The sequence below is a fragment of the Homo sapiens genome, chromosome 7 (assembly GCF_000001405.40).
Source record: "Homo sapiens chromosome 7, GRCh38.p14 Primary Assembly".
NCBI lineage: Eukaryota > Metazoa > Chordata > Mammalia > Primates > Hominidae > Homo > Homo sapiens.
Genome location: NC_000007.14, coordinates 24,458,382 through 24,481,047, shown reverse-complemented (window position 1 = coordinate 24,481,047; position 22,666 = coordinate 24,458,382). Strand labels below are relative to the sequence as shown.

General features: G+C 40.2%; 1 long non-coding RNA gene across 1 annotated transcript, besides 8 other annotated features; it reads left to right on the top strand.

The window, feature by feature from the left end:
- The first annotated feature begins 424 nt into the window (after positions 1-424).
- LOC124901601 (uncharacterized) lies at positions 425-9,765 on the top strand. The gene is made up of 2 exons (XR_007060259.1): positions 425-584; positions 9,459-9,765. It is a non-coding gene; the product is annotated as an uncharacterized LOC124901601 (long non-coding RNA).
- Positions 1,198-1,860: an enhancer, noted in NCBI's record as "H3K27ac hESC enhancer chr7:24518807-24519469 (GRCh37/hg19 assembly coordinates)". NCBI's record gives its function as "activates a minimal SCP1, AML or CMV promoter by ChIP-STARR-seq in primed H9 embryonic stem cells {active_cell/tissue: H9 hESC(primed)}" and the evidence as "EXISTENCE:reporter gene assay evidence [ECO:0000049][PMID:30033119]".
- Positions 1,861-2,524: an enhancer, noted in NCBI's record as "H3K27ac hESC enhancer chr7:24518143-24518806 (GRCh37/hg19 assembly coordinates)". NCBI's record gives its function as "activates a minimal SCP1, AML or CMV promoter by ChIP-STARR-seq in primed H9 embryonic stem cells {active_cell/tissue: H9 hESC(primed)}" and the evidence as "EXISTENCE:reporter gene assay evidence [ECO:0000049][PMID:30033119]".
- Positions 2,525-3,188: an enhancer, noted in NCBI's record as "NANOG-H3K27ac hESC enhancer chr7:24517479-24518142 (GRCh37/hg19 assembly coordinates)". NCBI's record gives its function as "activates a minimal SCP1, AML or CMV promoter by ChIP-STARR-seq in primed H9 embryonic stem cells {active_cell/tissue: H9 hESC(primed)}" and the evidence as "EXISTENCE:reporter gene assay evidence [ECO:0000049][PMID:30033119]".
- Positions 2,525-3,218: a biological region, named in NCBI's record as "NANOG-H3K27ac hESC enhancer GRCh37_chr7:24517479-24518142".
- Positions 2,924-3,218: an enhancer, noted in NCBI's record as "tiled region #8696; HepG2 Activating DNase unmatched - State 5:Enh, and K562 Activating DNase unmatched - State 8:EnhW". NCBI's record gives its function as "activates a minimal TATA promoter and a strong SV40 promoter by Sharpr-MPRA in HepG2 cells, with weaker activation in K562 cells {active_cell/tissue: HepG2 | K562}" and the evidence as "EXISTENCE:reporter gene assay evidence [ECO:0000049][PMID:27701403]".
- Positions 3,034-3,178: an enhancer, noted in NCBI's record as "145 bp enhancer 39 fragment used in the MPRA reporter construct; PK_construct_3434". NCBI's record gives its function as "activates an SV40 promoter by MPRA in HepG2 cells {active_cell/tissue: HepG2}" and the evidence as "EXISTENCE:reporter gene assay evidence [ECO:0000049][PMID:23512712]".
- Positions 3,101-3,111: a transcriptional cis regulatory region, noted in NCBI's record as "NFE2L2 motif; MPRA enhancer 39 activity is reduced when this motif is scrambled". NCBI's record gives its function as "necessary for full MPRA enhancer 39 activity {active_cell/tissue: HepG2}" and the evidence as "EXISTENCE:site-directed mutagenesis evidence [ECO:0005528][PMID:23512712]".
- Positions 3,189-3,853: an enhancer, noted in NCBI's record as "NANOG-H3K27ac hESC enhancer chr7:24516814-24517478 (GRCh37/hg19 assembly coordinates)". NCBI's record gives its function as "activates a minimal SCP1, AML or CMV promoter by ChIP-STARR-seq in primed H9 embryonic stem cells {active_cell/tissue: H9 hESC(primed)}" and the evidence as "EXISTENCE:reporter gene assay evidence [ECO:0000049][PMID:30033119]".
- Positions 9,766-22,666: the final 12,901 nt, after the last annotated feature.

The following is a 22,666-nucleotide window of genomic DNA, read 5'->3' as shown; positions in this document are numbered from 1 at the left end:
CTATTAGAATGTCCCTTTATTTAATATTACTTCATTAGTATTTATCATAGGTTGTCCATGCTTAACAGGGCTTGTGCAAGTTTTTCTGAATGGCTGTAGCACAGAATGCTTTTCAGCAGGAAAAAGAGATGAGGCTGGACACATTGCTGGCAGCCAGGTTGAGAAAAACCCTGTGTTCAGCAACGAGGAGAAGGGTCTCCATTCAGTGGGTGCTGGGGAGGCACTAGGTAGAGTGGCGACATGATCAGATTTGCATTTTGGAAAAGAAAGTCCATAGTGGTGGTTTTACGGAGGAAGGACCAAAAGCAGGTGCCAGCAGAGGCAAGGGCAGGAGCTGGGGAGCAGTGAAGAGGAGAGAATCCTGGCAAGCAGCGAAGTTTAAGGGACAAGAGCAGTTTGGGAGGCAGAAGAAGAACTGAAGAGAGTCCAGGGAGAAAGTGGCTTCAAGAAACTGAAATAAGTTCAGCGAGATAAAAACTCAACACTATCCCTGGGATCTGGAAGTTGCTCATTGGTGAGAGCAAGAGCAGTTCTGGTGGAAAGGACAGAAGTCAGATTTCTGTGGGTCAAAGAACAAATGGGAGGTAAGGAGCTGCCAGCAATGAATATGGAAGTAATTTTAAAGAAGGTTAGCTGGAAAGGAAAGAGGAGAGGTGGGATGGTTAGAGGGAGTTGCAGAATAGAAGGGAGACACGGTTGTCCTTTTTGTTTGTTTTGGAGGAGTAGAGAGTCTTGAGCAAGTGTGAAGTTGAGGGAGAGAAGCCAGGGTAAAGGGAGGGACCAGGCTAGGGGGCACAGAGAGGGAAGGAGGCAATGATTTCAAACGCCCAGCGAGGTTCCTTCTTCCAGAGCAGGGGGAAATAGGCAGGCCTGGATGCAGCTCTAGATAAGTTTGATGGTGAGGCTGAGAAGAGAAAGATTTAACATGTCTTGACTTCATCTTTTCTGTGGGATGGGAGGCAAGGTGGAGAATAGATAGGTTGGGTTGAGGGTGGAATAGGGCAGCTTCCCGGGAGCACTGGGGATGTGGGTTGGCTGCTGAGAGGTGACCAGAGCAAGGCAAGATTTGCTAAGCAGCACTGCAAGCTCAGCAGAAGCTGGAAACCACAAACTGTGGGGACTGTAATTAGATGTTTGTATTATTTTTTTCCAAGCAGTGTTCGGCAGCATGGATGCAGGAGATTAGAAGGGCGAATTTGGGGAAGGGTCTCTTGAGGTGGTGGGTGTAGTGAGAGTTAGGGTTACTGAGAGGGAATGGTTAAATAGACAAGCCATCATGGTATGATTCTGGGTATGTAGGAGAGGCAGTGGAACCCCCCCACCAGAGAACTGATTGGCCTGGGAGTGATGGATGGGTTCAGGATACATGAGACAGAGATGAACCGCTGGGCTCAGTGGTTCACACCTGTAATCCCAGCACTTTGGGAGGCCAAGACGGGCAGATCTCTTGAGTCCAGGAGTTCAAGGCCAGCCTGGGCAACATGGTGAAACCCTGTCTGTACAAAAAATACAAAAATTAGCCGGGCGTGGTGTGTGCCTGTAGTCCCAGCTACTCGGGAGGCTGAGGCGGGAGGATCACCTGAACCCAGGAGGCGGAAGTTGCAGTGAGCTGAGATCACACCACTGCTCTCTAGCCTGGGTAGCAGAGTGAGATTCTGCCTCGAAAAAAAAAAAGGCCAGGCACGGTGGTTCATGCCTGTAATCCCAGCACTTTGGGAGGCTGAGGTGGGTGGATCACGAGGTCAAGAGATCGAGACCATCCTGGCCAGCATGGTGAAACCCTGTCTTTACTAAAAATACAAAAAATTAGCTGGGCGTGGTGGCGGGTGCCTGTAGTCCCAGCTACTCGGGAGGCTAAGGCAGGAAAATAGCATGAACCTGGGAGGTGGAGGTTGCAGTGAGCCGAGATCGCGCCACTGTACTCCAGCCTGGTGGCAGAGCAAGACTCTGTCTCAAAAAAAAAAAAAAAGAAGACTGATCTTATGAGGTCTCATGGGCTCCACAGGCAAGTGCAATGAGAGCAAATAGAGACAGGGTGTTAACCACTTAAGGGGATAAGATTGGGGTATGGCCGATCAGAGTTCAAGGTCTCAATGATGGAGTTGGTTTGGGGTCATAAACAAGATCCCAGTGTGGCCAGAAGAGTGGATTGCTCAAGTGGGGCCTAGATGAAGGTGAATGGAGCAGAGTAGATTAAGAAACTTTCAAGCAAGAGTGAGAGATGGGTATTCCACAAACTGCTTCCTTGCTTGGGACAGCAGGAGAGTTAGAGTAGGTAGAGATTATGAGTCAGGTGCCAAAATGTCCCTTAGAAAAATATACTCGTAAAGTTCAGTTTCTCTTTGGGCATAATCTTCAGCCAATTGGTTTCATGTGCCATCATCTCCTACTGTGGTATTGATTTCCTTTCCCTTCCTTGCAGTAGGATTTGGGAAGATTCTTCTTTGATAAGGCGGGCTATTGCTTGCCTTCCTCTCTGTCTCAGCCTCCCTCTGGTTTCTCCATCATTTGCTGCCTTCCAAAGCTGTTGGATGGTTCATTAACTGCCTTCTGTTCTTGCCAATCATTTACCTGCCCAAGTAGCTGATTTCAATAGTCATAGAAATTTCCTTCCCTAGATGAGTGGACATTTCAGACCCCAGATTCTGTTGCTCTTTTCCCAGCATCCTTCACCTCCCTGAATTCCGAGGTTTCTAAATCATTCTGCCCCCACACTCCAGGAAGTTATTTGTTTGCCAACCCATTCTGTTTTGCCAAAGCTGCTTGACAAGTTCAACATGGACAGCTTGAAATTGATTTGTCATCAATATAACGTATTAAACTCTTAACTGACAGAGCAACAGTGCAGTTTTCCACAATATATTTTTTAGAGGTGGTAATATTCAGAACATCAAGCTTTAGGATATTCCTGTGGACAAGTGCTGAATAACTACTTTAGCTCCACTGTCAGTCACAGCCCGCCCCACAGTGGGAACCATAAAGCTATATCAAGTTAAAAGTTCTGGAGACTCTAGTCTGGGATCATGAAAACACAGTTTAGCTTCCTTTTGTGTTACTAATGCAGGGCCTCTTTCTGGGCTTCACAATGCCCCCCTCTGAAGTGAGTCAGCATTTCTGTGTTTGCTTAACTTCTAAGGTTACTGAAGCACTGAGGGGGACATAGTTGGTCCAAAGTCACGCTGCAGGGATCATGGCAGGTTAAAATCAGACCAAGAACTTGTTTCCACTAGGCAGGACTCCTTGAACCCTGCCGCATCTACTGGAAGCAGTTATGTTGATACAAGTCCTGCACTTCTGTCTTTAAATAGTCCACTGGCAACTGTGATTCTAAGTCCCTGTGTGGAATTAGTTCAGGCCCTTGTATGAAGTTCAGACTGCGGTTTGAAGGGATTCTGACAGTTTCTGCCAAATACAATACTTAGATCTAGGAGTGAGAAAAACGATGCAAGATGGCAGGGATATAAAGTGGAGGCTGAAATAGGTCTGCTCTGTGCCTGTGCTTTCCAACTGGCAGTCATACTGCACAGTCTTTTTTCCCTCTGGAAAATTTGTCTAAGTCCAATATCATTTTTCCCTTGAAACAATGAGATTGGATATCTAAGATGCAAGTAGATCCATGTGCACTGTTATTATTAATCTCCAGAAACTCTCCATGTTCCAGTGTGCCAGGATACAGAGCCAGGGAGGAAGGGTGGTTTCGGATTAATAGCATTCTAAATTTATCGTACGTTTTCTTAGCTTCTTTTCCTTAAACATAATTTCAAAGAGACAGAAATCCAAAATAGTGGATGTGGTCTTTTGTTGCTTACAGCGTGTCACTTTTCTACATGTAAAAAATTGTAGTCCACTGTCACTAATAATTAATCATAAAATTATCCATAGCCATCATAAACAGCAAACTCACAGTGAATGTACTTGGTTAGCAGTTTAGGATCTTAGAACTGAAAGGGACTTTAGAAATAACCTGGACCAACCTCCTACTCAATTTGTGCTGCAGCCTCCCTGATGAGATATCTAACTCTGTGGTTCTCAAACTTTGCTGAATATTGGAATCACGTAGGGGAGGTTTTAAAGATCTTAACGCCAGGGCTCCACCTCAGATCATCTAAGTAAGAATTTCTGGGGGTGAGACCAAGGCATCAGACTTTCTTAAAACTTCCCAGGGGATTATAATGAGCAGCCAAGTCCTGACCAGTGACCTCGCTTCTGCTCGGCTGTGCTCTGTGGTGAAGTCCTGCTTTGTGGGGTTGGTTGCACACTGATAGACAGTCCTTCCGAATAGAACTAATAGGAATTAATGCTTCTCTGGAAGCCGCATAGAACCAATCAGCTCCCTCCCTCACTGAAGCTCTTTGAAGATCTGAAGGCAGTAGTAAACAATTTGCAACATACTAAACTATTTCCTTACTATGGCCAAAAATACCAATGAAAATGAAACTCTTGGACACACTACTTCGTAGTGTGGGTTTTAATCCACTATTTGGCCATTATCCTATCCCGGTTTTATTGTTTTGACTCCTTGATGAAGTAATTGGGGACAACTGTCAAGAAGTTCTCTGGAAGTTAACGCCAGCGGATTTCTGAAGCGCCAACATGAGCTGTGTTTTGGTCCTTCCCATCAGCTGTCGAGTTCCCAGTGGCCTAGTTCTTCCTATCCCTGGGCCCTGCACTGCCTACCTCCTCTCCTTGGCTGTCTCACTTGTCTCTGTTCTCCCATTATCTGTGTTTGAGCCTGGGTGATGGCCAGGTCTGCAGAAGAGCAGCAGAAGGAAGAAAACAGAAGAGGATGTCACAGTCATGCCCCAACACAGAGACTCAGCCACTGAGTCCCTGAGGCCTGATCTAGCACCGTGTGTTAAAAGGCTAAATCCTGGAGTCATAGCTTTTGGTTGTAAGCCCTGGCTCCCCTACTCACTGCAGGGGGAACCCTGGGCAACACCCTTAATCTACCGGAGCCTGTTTCTTCATCCGTGAACCCAGGAGTAATAATAGTAACTAACTTCTATGAAATAAAAAGATAATCTGTGTAATATACCTGGTACAGTGCCTGGTATACAGCTAGTACCTAATCAGAATTAGCTCTTATTGTATTATTATAACCACAGTCCCCTCCCCACCCCCTTCCAAAGCTATCCCTGGTCCACAGGCCCGTCACCTACTCTCTCCTAATCTAAGCTCCGACGTGGGCTGCCTGACGTTACGGACCCTAGCTCCTGCCAGTCTCTTTTCTCTGCACCTGGCCAGTGCTTAGCTTAGACTCACCTGGGCTCACAGTGCCTCCCAAAGGCACTCAGGAAAAAAACCGTTAATTTTAGCTGTTGTTCCACTGGTTGGCATGGGTTGTGAGGGAAAACCAGCAGCAAATATCTTGCTCCTGATTAGAGTTTTTCTTTGCTGCTTTCAGTTTCCTTTCTCAAGGGGCCACATGATATTGAACTCAGAACTATGATTTGCCCTTCCCTTAAAGCATGCCAGGAAAATCATTACATTTTTAGCAGGTGCTGGAGGATAGGCTGTTTCCCTTTCCATTTAACAAACATTAGATTTTTGACCAGGCTTCCTTGAACTTCACACACTAGCAATGTGGCCTTTATTTTACTGGCTTCTTCATTTTATCAGTACTGCCAGCAAAACTCTGGGAATGTGATCTGTTAGGTCCTGTCTTCGCCAGCCAAGATTTAAAGGGTGCAGCAGATTGAAGATTTTCAAACTACAGAAAAGTGCTTTCAATATGTGTTCAGTGGGCAACAAAATGCTTCCTTTGTGGGAGTCCATGCTCCCTCTCTTGGGTTAATGGATGACTTTCCAGGGATGCTGCATAAAAGAGTGATTTTAAAAAACGGCTGTAGGCAGCTGTGAGATAGATTCTTCAACCCAGTATACATTTTATTGCTATTTAAAAACAAGTTTAAATTAGATCCGGTAACCATTATTCAATCATGTCCCCTCAAGTCTGTACATACGTCCCTCACTAGTGAGGGAAAAGGAAGTTGGTAAATTAAGTTTTGCTGAACAGTTCTCAGGTACCCCAACTGTCAGAACAGTTCCATGTGGGTCATATTTAAATCCTCCATTTGATTATTGCTATGGATTTGTTCAGGGTGGCTTCAAAGCAAGCTAAAAAAAAAAAAAAAAAAAAAAAAAGAGCAAAAAGCAACAGAGAGCCACCAACCGAGGAGAAAAAAAATGTTTGGCTCCAAGAACTCATTATCAGTATAAATAAAACAAACTCCAATGCTGTTCTCACTTCAAATTACATCCCTTGATTTTTCCACTCTAATTTTCATTCACTTGACTGTAAGTGAGTAAATCTTTCCGGGATCAGTGTAGGCTGGTACTCCTTTGTCCGAAGACGTGAATTTACCTTGCCTGCACAGACATGTAGACATATCCACAAATATACTTGCAGAAACTGCATGAAGTGGTCCCCAGAAGCTAAATCTGGCCTTAATATATAAAGAGGATGCAAATTCTACATTCACTCCCTAGAAAGTAGAGGACATCTTCTAAATTCTTGACCTAAGGTAGAGTTTATCTTCTTTGCGTTGAGTTTTTACTGTTTCCTACAGTAGCAATGGGCTTGTCACTGGTCCATTGTTGGGTAGTCAATAGTTCAATATGTGGTATTGGAGCAAGGAGTAGTCCTGCAATATTAACTTGATAACACCATTTTGGAACCAACTAAGCCAACCACCTTAAGATAATTAACACATACACTTACAAACAGCTTAATGCTGCCCTAGAATAGACATTACCTCATTCCCTTTCACTTGATTCATTCATTTGTTTATTCATCAAACAAGTGTTAATTTATTCATTACTAATACAGACTTGAAAATATGAGCAACACATTTACTGTTTCTAAAATTCGTGTACTGAATTTCCCTTGTCCTTGAGTTATATGGATATCAGGATAAAACAAAATCAATATTTGTTCTAGTCATCCTGCATAAATAGTTTTCCAGACAAATGGCTATTTACCATATTGAATCAACGTAGCCTGCTGGAATGTAAAAAGGTTATCTGGAAAGTGTTTTTTCCTCCGTGGGTCTGGGAACATAGCCTAGGAGGCTACTCCCAAAGGGAGGGGAGCAGACATTGATTGCGTGCCTATCATGGTGAGCCACTATCCCGACATTTACACACATGATAGCATTTTGTCTTCATAAACACCCTAAGAGATAGCTATTCTCACCTCATTTCACAGAGGAGAAAACTGGGATTCCAGAAGGCTAAGTAATTCTGTTCTTAAACTCTGATTTCAGTGACACGACATTTTCCTGATTTTCCCCTTTCTTCTTCTCAGTCTTTTAGCTTTTTCTCCTCCTCCCCTTTAACTGTGACTCAATTTTGAATACTATCTACATTTGCTGGTGATCTTACCTGGTACAATGGCTTTAAATACCACCCATGTGCTCATGACTCTCCAGTGTGTCTCTCCAGCTCAAACCTCTCCCATTACCATCAGACTTGTATATCCAACTGCATACTTGAAATTTACATTTGGATAATGAGTGAGCATCTCTGATTTAGTATGTCCAGTTTGGAGATCTTGAGTTTTTCTCTTCATATCTCTTTCTCCTTGCATTTGAACTACTTAAATAAATGACTCCACCATTTACCCAATCACTCATATAAATAACCTAGGAGTCACCTTTCTCATTACTATTCCCCCAGTTTATAACAAACATATATTGCAAAATCTCTTTGCATTTCTTCATCTCCACCTTTGTATAAGCTAATGCAAAATATCCCTGACTCTTGGAAACTCCCTATTTACCTTCCTCCATCTCCTCATCTAGAATGTAAATTTGATGGCTGGAGCTGCTGTAACCAGTTGTGAGAATGAGAAAAAAGGGACTATAGTCACAGAGACATTAGCCCTGATATACTAAGTCCAAAAGTTACATCTCTCACATCATATTCTAAGGGAAAAATAACTCTTGTTTCATCCAAAGTGGTCTGATTTTTGTCTATTACTAGCAGGTGAAAACATTTCTAAGGGATATATATTTTCCCTCCACTCCCATCAATCTATATCCACACAGCAGCCATAGGCGTATTTTTTAAAAAAACATAAGCAAGGTTTGTTCAGAACCAAATATTTACTGAGCAAATACTATGTGCTATGAATGCCTCTATAGATGTACCTTATAGTCACAGCAGTGAAGCAAACAAAATTGGGACCCCTCCAGTGAGCAAAACAAAGACCCTTGCCTTTGTGGAGAGAATCAATATGATAAATAAACAAATTACATAGTATGTTAGAAGATGTTATGTGCTATATGTGGGGAAAAAGAAAAATAAAGCAGTGTAAAGTTGGGCAGAAGTGAGGGATGCAATTTTAAACAATGTGGTCAGGATAGGCTTCAATGAGAAGGTGACATCTGAGAAAAGACATGAAAGGCCTAGGTGATCATGGAGATAGTAAAAAGAGGTTGTATTCCAGATACGTTTTGAAAAGAAGAATCAAAAGGATTTACTGATGGATTAGATGTGTGCTATAAGACATAGAGACAAGTCAAACATAACTTCCAGATTTTAGTTTGCACAATTGGAAAGATGGAGTTGCCACTGCTGAGGCGAGGAAGGCTAAGTGCATAGCAAATTTGTGGTATGACATAGACATCTCAGTTTTAGGCATGTTGATTTTTAGACATCTACCAAACATTTGAGGAGAGATGATGTTGAATAAGCAGTTGAATATGTGAGTCAAGAGTTCAGCTAACAGGACTGCACTGCAGGTATAAAGTTGTGAGTCATGGCCTATATGACATTTAAAGCCATGAGATTGTATGAAATTACTAAGACAGTGAGTGTAGTTTGAGATAAACAAAGAACCAGTGTCCCAGAACTGATGCATTATAACATTAATAAGTTGCAGAGAAGAGAACCCAGTGGAGGAGACTGAAAAGAAGCAACCACTGAAATAGGAGGAAAACCAAGAGACTGAGGTGACCTAGAAGCCAAATGAAGAAAGTGTTTTAAGGAAGAGAGAGTGATCACTGCTACTGATTATCGAATAATATGAGGACTCAGAATTGATCATTGGGTTTAGCAGCATTGGGTCATTGGTGACCTGACAAGAAGAGTTTTCACCAATTGTAATGAAAGCCTGATTGGAATGGGTTTAAGAGAGAGTGGGAAGACACTAATGGCAGTTCCTTTGAAGAGTTTTACTGCAAAGGCGAGAAAAATATTTGAGTGTATCTGGGGGAGTTTCTTTTAAAAGCTGGGAAAATGACAAGTTTGTTAAATGATGAGAATGATCAAGTAGAGATGTAAAAATGGATGATGTAGGAGAAAGGGGACACTTGTTAGAGTGATGTCCTTTGGTATAAGTGAAGGGATTTGCTTTATATCATGTGGTTTTAACACATGTCCACCCACAAGCCTAAAATAAAAGTTAAAAAAAAAAAAACTTGCCCATAATACTTTGACACTATTTCCTTCAATAGGTGGAGCTGCAAAATATGTGAAGCAAAAACTGCAAAATATGTGAAGCAAAAATTGATAGGACTGAAAGGAGGAACAGACAAACCCACAGTCATGGTTGAAAACTTTGATACTCCTTTCTCAACCATTAGCAGAATACCCAGACAGAAATCAGCAAGGACATGGAAAACTCAACACTGCTGAGCACCAGGATGGAATCAACATTTATGGAACGCTTCACCCAATAATAGCAGTGTCCATAGAATATATGTGAAATAGACTGTATCTTGGGCCGTAAAACAAACCTTAATGAATTTAAAAGAACGAAAAGGATACAGTGTGTTTTTCAACTACATTGAAATAAAAATAGAAATCTATAAAAAAGATAGGAGGAAAATCTCTAAACACATAGAAATTAACAATACACTTACAGGAGGAAAATCTCTAAACACATAGAAATTAACAATACACTTCTAAATAATCTATGGGTCAAACAGGAAGTCTCAAGGGAAATAAAGAAAACTAACTAAATGTAAGTCAAATTACAATGTATCAAAATTTGTGGGACACAGCTAATGCAGCAATGAGAGGGAAATTTGTAACACTAAATGTGTACATTAAAAAAAGGAAAACTCTTAAATCCATAATCTAAGCTCCTATCTCAAGAACCTAAAAAAAATTGCAAAATAAGCCAAAAACAAGCAGAAGGAATAAAATGAGAAGATTAGAATACAAATCAATAAAATTGAAAACAGAAAATAGTAAAAAATCAGTGAAACAGAGAACTGGCTCTTTGAAAAGATCAATAAAATTGAGAAACATCTTGCAAAACTGACAAAGACAAAAAGAAAAGACACAAATTACCAACATTAGGCAGGAAACAGGCTATCTTTATTGACCCTGAACATGTCAAAAGAATAATAAAGGAATACTATGAGTAACTCTACACACATATACCTGAAAATGTAGACAAAATAAACCAATTCCTGGAAAACCAAAAACGACCACAACTTACCCAACATGAAGTAGATTGAATAGTTTTATAACTACTAAGGAAATCAAATTTGTAATTTAAAAATTCCCCAGAACATCTTCAGGCCCAGATGGTTTCATCAGAGAATTCTACCATATGTTTAAAGAAGAGTTAACAACCAGTTCTACACAATCTCTTTCAGAAAATAGAAAGAAAGAAAAACTTCTCTATTCATTTTTTTAAAAGCTAGTATTGCCCTGATATCAAAACTCGACAAAAACAGCACAAAAAAGGAAAATTACAGACCAATATTCCTTATGAGTATAGACACAAGAATCCTTAATAAACTATTAGCAAATAGAATTCAGCAACGTATAAAATAAATTATATACCATGACAATGTGAGGCTTATTACAGGAAACAAAGTTGATTTAATATTTGATAATAAGCCAATGGAAGCCACCATATTATCAGGCTAAAGAAGTAAAATTTCATGATCATATCAATCATGGTAGAAAAAACATTTGACAAAATTCAATAATTCATGATAAAAAAACTCTCAGAAAATGGAATAGGGAGAACTTTGTCAACATTGTAAAGAGCACCTACAAAAAAATCTATAGCCAATGTTAAATTCAATAGTGAAAGACTGAATGTTTTCTCCGTTTTATCAGGACTTAAGCAAGACTGTTTACTCTTACTAGTCTTATTCAGCATAGTGCTGGATGTCCTAACTGGTACAATAAGGCAAGAAAAAAAAATAAAAGACATACAGTTTGGAAAGAAACAAATAAAACTATCCCTATTTGAAGATGACATAATAACCCACTTAGAAAATCCCCAAGAATTCACCAAAAAAAAAAAAAAAATTCTTAGGGCTAATGAGTAAGTTCAGCAAAATACAAGATAAACATCCAAAAATTGATTGTATTTCATATATTATCAATGAAACCCTGAAGACTGAAATAAAAATACTAACATTATTTATAATTATTCAAGAACAAAAACGAAATACTTAGATGTAAATCTATAAAAACATGAATAGTACTGGTATGATGAAAACTACAAAACACTGATGAAAGAAATTTAAAAAAATGAAGAGATATACAGTGTTCATGGATTGGAAGACTCAACATATTACAGATGTCAATGCTCCCCAAATTGATATACAGGTTTAACACAATTTCTACTAAAATTCCAATAGGATTTTTTTGTGGATATAGTCAAGATTGTTATACAATTTATATAAAATAAGGAAGTAGTATAGCTAAAATATTTCAAAAAAGTTAAGGAAGAGGAAACAATCTACCCAGTTTTGACCTATTACGTAATCAAGACTATGAGGTACTGGTGAAGGGATAGACATATAGATCAATAGAACACAACAGAAAACCCAGCAATAGACTCATACAAATATGCCCAACTGATTTTTGACAAAGGTGCAAAACAGTTCATCAGAGGAACGATAAGTTTTCCAAGAAATGATGCTGAAGCAGTTGGACATTCACAAACAAAAAAATGAAGCCTCACCATAAACCTCACCCATTATATAAACATTAACTCAAAATTAATCACAGACTTAAATGTAAAACATAAACTTATCACGTTTTTTAAAATGGGAGAAAATCTTTAGGACCTTGAGCTGGACTAAGAGTCTTAGACTTGACACCAAATGTACAATTCATGAAAGGAAAAATTGATAAACTGTATTTTATCAAGACTAAAAAGTTTTGCTTTGCAAAAAACCCTGTGAAGAGTTGAAAAGATGAGCTACAGAGTAGGGGGTCGTATTCGTAAACCACATATCTGACAAAGGATTAGAATGTAGCATTTACAAAATACTTTCAAAACTCAAGAATAAAAAATTGAACAATCCAATTAGAACATGGGCAAAAGAAATGAAGAGACATTTCTCTGAAGAACATAAACAGATGGCTAATAAGCACATGAAAAGATGTTCACCATCATTAGCCATTGGGAAATGTAAATTAAAACTATAACGAGATATTACCACATATGGGTCAGAATGGGTAAAATCAAAAATAGTAGCAACACCACATTTTGGTGAGGATGCAGAGAAATGGAATCACTCATACATTGCTGGTGGGAATGTAAAATGGCATAGCCACTCTGGAAAACAGTTTGGCAGTTTCTTGAAAAACTAAACATGCAACTACCTTATGACCCATCAATTGTACTCCTGTGCATTTATTCCAGAGAAATAATGCATGCAAAACCTATACATGCATGTTTATAGAAGCTTTGTTTGTAATAGCCCTAAATTGGAAATAACCCAGTTGTCCTTCGACAGGTGAATGGTTAAACTGTGGTCCATCCCACCATGGAATATTACTCATCAATAAAAAGGAATGAACTACTGACATATACAACAAAGTGGACAATGGACTCTCCAGTGAATTACTTAGTGAAAAAAGTAAATCCCAAAAGGTTATACTATACAATTCAATTTATATAACATTCTTGAAATGACAAAATTATAAAAGTCTATTACAGATGTGTGGTTAACAGAAGTTAAGGATGGAGGAAGGGAAGAAGGTGACTGGAAAGTGAAAGTGGCTATCAAAGGATAAGATGGGGAGTCCTTGTGGTGATGGAAATGTTCTGAATCTTGACTCTATCAATGATAATATCTTCTTTGTGATATCACTATGGATTTACAAGATGCAGCCACTGGGGGGAAACTGGGTAAAGAGAACACCCATTCTCTCTGTATTATTTCTGACAACCGCATGGGAATTTACATTTATCTCTTAAAATGAAACATTTAATTTAAAACATTATTTTTTTTTACTTCCAGTTGCTTTTAAAATAAAATGCAAACAAAATGTGGCCCACAGGTGTCCACTGATCCTATCCTCTGCCTAACACCGCAACCTCTTATTGTACCACGTTTCTAACTCCAGCCACATTGTCGCTTTACTTTAATGACATTGAGCTCTCTTCTACTCCTGGTTCTTTGCATTTGCTGTTTCCTCTGCTTGGGAATGCTCTCTCCCCAGCTCTTTACATGGTTTCTCATTCAGAGCCTGCAGGTCTCAACTCAAACACCGCCTGCTCAGAGAAGCCAGCCTTTACTTGCAAATCATGGGAAAGGAGAGCAACTAAGCCCTGCAGCCCACTGCCTGGGGGCTGAATTGCAATACCTCCATCCAATAGCCTAAAGGCCTAGGCCATCAGACTTAACACCAGCTCTGTGTCTGTGTTCCCATCTCTAAAATGGGCACCCTGTTAGTTTCTCCTTCACAAAATTGCTGTAAGAATTAAAGGGGGGCCAGGCGTGGTGGCTCATGCCTGTAATCCCAGCACTTTGGGAGGCTGAGGTGGGCGGATCACCTGAGTTTGGGAGTTCGAGACCAGTCTGACCAACATGGAGAAATCCCGTCTCTACTAGAAATACACAAATTAGCTGGGCCTGGTGGTGCATGCCTGTAATCCTAGCTACTCAAGAGGCTAAGGCAGGAAAATCACTTGAAACCGGGAGGCAGAGGTTGCCGTGAGCCGAGGTCACGCCATTGCACTCCAGCCTGGGCAACAAGAGTGAAACTCTGCCTCAAAAAAAAAAAAAAAAGGATTAAATGGGTTAACATAGTCATTTAAACTAGCACCTGAAATGCCATAAAGCCTACATAAGTGTTATTTATTATTATTTTAAAAACCTCCTGTAGTTACTCTCTATCTCTTTGGTTCTCAAGGTTTGATCCCTGGACCAGCAGTATCCCCATTACCTGAGAATTTGTGAAATATGCACACTTTCAGGCCATACCCCAGACCCACGGAAACTCTGAGGATGGAGTCCAGCAGTCTGTTTCAAGGAGCCCTACTGCTATGACTCCAATACGTGCCGCTTGAGTTTGAGGGCCATCAGTTTATCTCATCTGCCTGTTTACTTCCTTAATGTTACTATCACAGGTAGATATTATCTTTTTATTTATTTACATGATTAATGCCTGCATCTCCTTCCAGAAATCAGTATTCCACGAGGGCAGACTTATCAATCTTGTTCACTACTGTATCTCCAACTGTTGGCATAGCATCTGGCACAAAGTAAGCACTGATAAACTATTAACAAATAGACACATGAATGAACAAACTTGGCCAAGGTCATATTGTAACCAGGTACCCTGTTTTTAAGCTTTCTTTCTGTTGCCCTTTGTGTTAATTTCTTAGTAATGAAATAATAACCTTTACTCTCCTTTCCACCAGGCCCTCCCTTGCACTGGTAGCTTATCTAATTCTATGTTTGCTTAGAAGTTCCAAAGACTGAATCTTGAGACAATCCAGGTGCCTACGGAATTCTCCCCTACCAGGAGGTTGCTTCAAGGACACAGTTAATTTATAACCTGGTTGAGCCCAAGATGGCACCAGCCTATTCACCAGATGGAGCAGTAACTTAAGTCATCAGAACAAGTCATGTAGACCTGCACAGCCTTGCCCGTCTTGCATGCCCTTCACCCCAAACTCCTCTTTTTAACTCCTTTGCATTTTGCTTGAAAATTTGATACGGTTTCGTTAAGACAGGAGACTGGACAGTTTCTTCACTGCTAGCTATGGAAAAATAAAGTCACTGACTTTCTATCACAATTCATCCTTGTTATTCGGTTTTGCAAGTGGCAATCAACTGAATCTCCCTTTGGTTACAATCCATTTTTTAAATAACTGAACTGATGGATGTCGACTTCAGGCTGGCTTGCTCCCTCTGACACACTGAGAATCAATGGCACCCCAACTCCTAGTCATTACTCAGCAGTCCCAAGTTTCCCATATAGTGCTGTGCAAAACGGAAGTCACTAGCATGTAGAAACCCCCACTTCCAAACTGCATTTTAAATACAAATATGGCCACAACAGAGCCAGAGGTTCTTTGGTCATGGCAGTGGGCGCTTGCTCTTCCTATTGCATTGTGTTGTCCACTTCATTTTTACTTGTGATTGCCAAGGGAGCGTTTTCCTGTCATGGCAATGGGTCACCTTCTCTCTGTGGCTTTTAGTAGCTATGGCTGGTGAAGGGTTCCCTTCTCTTTGGGGGCTACTTTACATCTCAGTTTGGAGGCATCCCTTTTTCACCTTGGGTTTCAGTGGAGAGAAGATTCAGTACATAAGTACTCGCACTCTTTTCCGTGACACTACCATCTCTTCACTTTTCTCCTACTTCCCTGATCATTTCATCTCTGTCTCCTCTGTGGGCTTCTCTTCCTCAGCTTCTCATTGCTTCAGCTATTAGTTGCTCTCAGGGCCTGTTAGTTCCCTTTACCTGCACATTCCTAGGATGATCCCCTTCACTCCACAGCAGAATTTCCAATTCGAACCTCTTTGTTGGCACGTGGACCTCAGTGTCCCAAAGGAACCTCAGCACAGAATATTCAAGACTAAATGACTTATTTTCCTTTGCCCCTTCCTGTTATTCTCTTATATTTGTTAGTGGCACTGCCATCGATCCTGTTATCTGAGGCAGAAATCTGGGAGTGATTCTTTGTTCCTCTCTTTATCTCACTTCCTGTATCTTATCAGCATTCTAGTCCTTGAAATTGTACTCCTTATCATGCCTCACATCACCCCCTTACCCTCTCTGGTGCTAATCAGGGCTGCTGAATCACGTCACGTGGCCAGCCTGGCTGCAAAGCTTCAAGGATCTCACCTGGACTATTGTAATCATCTAATATCTTTGGTACTGGCCTTATATCTGTGTGAATCCTCCACACAACCACACTATGATTAAATAACTTTTTGAAATGCAAATTAGGCCCCTTTTGCTCCATTTTTTAAAATGATGTTAAAGGTCACGTGTTAAAGATATGATAAAATTCCTTAGTTTGCTGTACTAGGCCCTTCATAACTTCTGTGGATTGAATGTGTTCCCCAAAGATCATGTCTTGGAAAGTTAATTCTCAATACAACAATGTCATGTGGGGCCTATTGGGAGCTGTTTAGGTCATAAGAGCTCTGCCCTCATAAATGGATTTGAGTTGTTACGGCAGGAGTGGGTTTGTTATAAAAGCAAATTCAACACTGTCTTGCCCTGCCTTGCTCTCTCACCCATGTGATGCCTTTCTCTATGTTATGACAGAGCAAGAAGGCCTTCACCAGATGTGGCCCCTCAATCTTTGACTTCCCAGAACTTTCAGTCAAATGAATTTGTATTCGCTATAAATTACCTAGTCTGTGGTATTCTGTTATAGCAGCACAAAGTAGGCTAAAACAATGATCAATTCAGATGCCTCAATCTCTGTACCTTACTTCAAAACCTGCTGCTATGGACAGAGTTGGGTTTCCCCCCAGCATTCATAAGTTGACATCTCAGCCCCCAGTATGATGGTACTTGGAGATGGAGCCTTTGGGAGGTAATTAGGTCATGAGGATGGAGCCCTCATGAATGCGATTAATACCTTTATAAGAAGAAACAGGAGAGAGCCTTCTCTCTCTCTGCCATGTAAGAACACAAGAAGGCGGCTGTCTGCAACCCAGAAAGAGAGCTCTCACTAGGAACTGAATCACCTGGCACCCAAATCACTTCCCAGCCTCCAGAACTGCGAGAGAAGTAAATTTCTGTGGTTTAAGCCACCCTAGTCAATGGTATTTTGTTATTGCAGCTTCAGGTTACTACGATACCCATGCAACCTCCATACCAACCCTACCAGCATCATTAGCTTCTCAAAATCTTTTTGGCTGCACTGTCTCCTCAGGTAGAAATGAATATGCTCTTCTTTAAGCTCATCTGTATTGGTTAGGTTTTGCTGCACTAACAACTCCAGATTAGAATAAAAGACACTTATCTCATGCTCATTATATGAAGGCTGAGGGGTGCAGCTCTGCTCTGGGCTGCAGATTGGCTACAGATTTGCTCCACCTGCCTCTCCATCCCAGGACCCAGGCTGAAGGAACAGCTGTTCCCTGGGATATGCTCTTTCTTGTGGCAGATATCAGAAGTGCAAGTAAAAGTCCTAGTCAAAACACATGGTTATATTTAAAGCTTCTGTTCACTTGTGATGTACAACTTGCCTGCTCATATTTCATTGGCCACAGCAAGTCCCATGGCCAAGACCAACATCAGTGAGGTTGGGAGGTTTACCTCTAGAGAAGGGCAGAATGAATACCTGGGGAAAAAATCATACAATGTACTCCACTGCCCAACACCCGGCTCATATTTCATTCTAGTCCCCAGAATCCTTGATTTGCTTACCTACATTTCTCCTCCTGAAAGGTAGGGCCTGATTTCTTCTGTTATACCTTGCCAGCACTTAGTATAGTTGCTGAATGGGTAAATGAATTAATGATTGACTCAATAATTCAAAATGGAGAATGCAGGAAGAAGATTGAGTTTGTTGGAGAAGATAATTAGTTCAGTGTTAACCTCATGGGCTAAATATGTTCTGAACAGTGTCCTGGTAATGGAGCTGTCATTTTTAATACAGTTACTAAGAGCTAATGTGTTCTGAGAACTCTACTATCAACTTAGAATCACTCTTTTGGAAAGGGGCTAATAAGCTTAAAACAGACTGTAATGTTTTGATTGACTGATTACCTTGATCTTAAATTTTATCAAATCTGAAATATAAATGCTGATAGTTTTACAGAGTTGGCTTTTTTATTTTCGGAAGCTACGATTAAGACTAATTAAGTAGTTGTAAAATATAGATAGCCACAGAACTTCAAAATGACAGTAAGGGAGAATAGAAAGATAAGTGAGAGCAGAGCTTTTAGGTATCCAGGGAGTCCTCGAAACTCTGAAATTGCAAAATATTGAGTGTGTGCATATGTGCACTTTTCTGGAGAAACAGATTATAGTTTTGCATCAGATTCTTAAAGGGGTTTATAAATCACAAAAGATTAAATAAATCCATTATAACAGAGAGAGAGAAGACAGAAGAAATGACATTTTTTTGTATTCCCCAATGATAGTAATAACAATAATGTATTGAACTTTTATTTTATGCTTTTCACTGTTTTGAACACTTCTATTGATATTCTTATAATTTTTGAATCAACTCTATTATGATCTTCAATTCACAAATGAGGAGATTCAAGTTTAAAGATAAATACTGTAACCTGTTCCAAGTTATGTGCCTAGTCCGTGGCAGAGAAAAATGCCCCAACACTGCCCTCTTATCCAGCATACTGCATCCCCTTCAGTGCTCAGATTCATTTTACTTTACCCTTTCTGTCTTCCTAATAATTTTGGTTAAAAAATAGCTTTTAAATTTAACCCCCTGGCAGTCATGAACTGGCCAGTGCTCAAATTTCTGGCAGGGCAACCCCATTTGCAGGGCATAAATATAACTGAAGACATAACTGAATACTTAGATACGTTTTCATCATTGTGCAATCTCACTAATGGATTGGCCTCTTGTTCCAAGTGGAAAAGTTGTGGTGCCTCGCCTGATGGGCAGGCACTTTCCAAGTCCTGTTCAACTATTAAATTCTGCTTGTTAGGTTAATGAAAAGCAAATTTGCAGTACCCCTACTAATGTAAAGCATTCTAGCAGCAATAAATTTGTATGACCCTTATTTATCACTTCTTATTTAAGTAGTTGCAAACCCTCAGAAATGGCCTTTCATATTATGAAAATTCACTTGCTGAGGATAACACCGAAAATCCACCCCATTTCCAGAGATCATCTTTCAGAGAGATATTTAAATGAGGACATTAAATTGATTGTACTAAATGCAGTGAGTGATAGGGCATATTGTGTTTGCACTCAAATGGGTGTTGACTTTATGGTGTGCCTAAACTTAATGATAAATCAGTGTTAGGAACTTCAGCTGAAGAGTTCAGTTTCCCTGATCACCTTTCATCTCTGAGTGGTGATCTTGCATATTTGGCACTTATATGTGCAAAGTACCTTTGTCCTCCAAATGTCACTGTGGATGCAGGTGCATTTTATGATTGCTGCCTCAAAGATGGAGAGACTGACAGGGCTACGGAGAGTTGAATTAATGACTGACCCAACAATTCCAGACGGGGAATGCAGGAAGAAGATGGAGCGTGTTGGAGAAGATAATGGTGGCAGGGGGAGGGTCGGTAACCAGGGTGCTGGGCTTCCTTGAAGCAGCCAATATGGTCAGGCTCTGACATCACTGTCCTCATGTATCTCTTGTTCCTTCCGCCTTTTCCTCTTCTATTTTCCACCCTTTATGCTTCTCAATCATACTCCACATATACGACTTAAATTATAGGAAACAGTATATAGCATAGTGCTTAAGAAGAGGCTTTGGAGTCAAACAGACTTTAGCTCAGTAGAAGTGATCTTGGGCAATTCTCTCAACTTCTCTGAATCTCTTCTGTAAAATTGGGCTAAGAAGACAGAATTGTTACAAGGATTTTAATTTAATTAGATCATACATATAAAATAAGGATTTTAATGTAATTAGATTATGTAGATACATAATATCGGTCATAACTTTTGTTACCATCATCAGAAACAAAGCAATATGAGGCAGAATACAATGAAAGGTTTACCTCTATATTACAGACTATAGGCTGTAATATAGTCTCCTTTTATCAAAGGAGACTCGTTTTATCAAAGGAGACTCGTTTTATCAAAGGAGACTGAGGTCTGGAGAAACCTGGGGTGTCTTCTAGGGGCTGGGGACACTTAAGCCAGCTGCAAAAGATGACAAGATTTAGATTAGCAAACAAGAAGGGGAAGGAACTGTATAATTGTGGTGGTTTTACACTTTTGCAAATTCTTTGACACATTTCCATAAAAGTAGAGTCTACTTTCCCTCTGTTTGACTGTAAGCTGTCCTTGGTACCTTTCTTCTAATGAGTAGAATATGGTGGAAGTGAGATTGGGTGACTTCTGATACTATATTAGAAGATGTGATACAGTGTGTCTGTCACTTTGTCATCCATCCATCCATCCATCCATCCATCCATCCATCCATCCATCCACCTACGTAAGTCTATTGATTGATTTAATCAATTAATCTACCTACCTACCCAGATCTCTCTCCCTCTTTCTCTCTGACTTTAGAGACCTGAGCCACTTTGTATGAATTTAGGCTACCCTAAAGCCACCATGGAACCATGTCGGAAGACTACATGCCCAAGGAGCCACAGCTGCTCCAGTCCTGACTGTTTGAGTCTTCCCAGATCTGGCATCAGATATGTGAGAAAGCCTCCTCTCCCAGCCACAGTAATTGTGGGAGAGACTCTGGGTGAGAACTGCCAAGCTGAGTCCAGTTAACCACTAGAACCCTGAGAGATAATAATAAAATGTTGTTTTAAGCCACTAAATTTGGGAGAAATTTGTTATTCAGCCATAATAACAACAACCAAAGACATTCAAACCTTTATGATGTGGTTTGAAAGTGTGTCGCCTCAAAATCTCAGGTTGAAATGTGATTCCCAGTGTTGGAAGTGGGATCTGGTAGGAGGGGGTTGGATCATGGGGGCAGATCCCTCACGAATGGTTTAGTACCATCCCCTTGGTGATAAGTAAGTTCTCCCTAAGTTCATGTGAGATCTTCAAGTTTAAACTTCAAGTTTAAAAGTCTGGGACCTCTCCCCTCTCGCACCTCTCTTGCTCTGGCTCTCTCCATGTGACATGCTCATTCCTCTTCACCTTCAGCCGTGACTGTAAGCTTCCTGGGGCCCTCACCAGAGGCTGAGGAGATGTCAGTCCGTGCTTTTTATACAGCCTGCGGAACTGTGCACCAATTAAATCTCTTTTTAAATAAATTACCCAGCCTCAGATATTTCTTTATGTGACACAAAAACAGCCTAACACAATTTATAAACCAAAGCAAATTTACAAATTAAATCGTAAAACTACAAAACCAGTAATATTCAGTTGAAATAGGTTAATTTATGTTGACAAATGATGTTTTTCAGTCACCAGATTGATGTTTATGTCATTAAAAGGTGAATGCTACAGCACAAGCTTTTGGCAGATTGATATGCGAGCGCTGTGTGATGACTCAATTCTCCCACCACCCTGCTCCATTTCAACTACCATGAACCCATTGCTTAGACATTGCACAGTGGCATCTGGCCTCCATAAAGCACTAGCATATCATCACTGTGTTCTGTTCCTGCCTGTTTTCTTTTCACATCAGCCCGTAGCAACTAAAGGTATCTTCCTGATGCCAATGTGATCCTCTGTGCAGACATAAATCCAGGCACTGATATTGAGAGTCAACACCCAATATTAACTGGTTATCCAAAGAGCCCAGGTTTAAAAAAAACATTTATTTCTTTTTAGATTAATGCGAAAATGAAATGTAAAACTTAAACATTCTCGTAGGAGGTTATTCATCACACAGGAGGTATTAGAGAGCTAGGCTCTACTGGAAGGGAGGGTGGTACCCTCCAGGTAGGTCTAACCAAAAAGTTTGGCTGAAGTGGAATAGAGTCGTATTATAGATGGCCCTGAAAGCCAGGATCTAGAGTCTGAAAAATGAACTTGCAGCCATTATTGGTTCTTGAGTATGGGAGTGTGAGAGGATGAAAGCTCTATTTCAAGATTCACCTCACAGTTGTATGTAGATGATGAACAAGACAAAAGGTGAGGCTGGCGTCAAGAAGACTGGCTAACAGTCTCTATAATTTTACTAATCCTGGCACTTAAGAAAATCAGTGTTCACCAAGTTCTCACTGAGTATGTTGTACTTTACTGGGCTCTTTGAAAAATACAAAGTAGAGATTGTGAGTTGGATTTAGTTTCAAGACTTGGATTTATGGTGTTCTTCCTTCCACTCCTGCTTGTCATTGATAAATGATACAACCTTGGTCAAACCATTCATGTCGCAACACCTCTGAGACTTCATTTATCAAACAAGGGATAATGATATATACATTCCACCCTTGTTATAAATATTAAATGTTAAATACATATATATTAAATCTTCAAAAATCTTCAAGTCTTCACAGAATAGAATGAGTTTTTACCCTTTAGAGGACACTTTAGTGTTAGATTATACTTATATGAAAACATTTAAACTGTTGCAGAAAAAGAGATGATTTTAAAAATTGCACTAACTCTATTGTAACAGCATTAATAGAAATTTTGAAAATGGAAGTGAGCTCTCAGAATTCCACAGCTACCAAATATCGACTTTTTATTCTTCCTATTTCTTGCTAGTTCATATACATATAAATACATCCACAATGCATAGTATAGATGTATTGTTGGGGCCGAGCATGGTGGCTCACGCCTGTAATCACAGCACTTTGGGAGGCTGAGGTGGGTGGATCACGAGGTCAGGAGTTCGAGACCAGCCTGGCCAACATAGTAAAACTC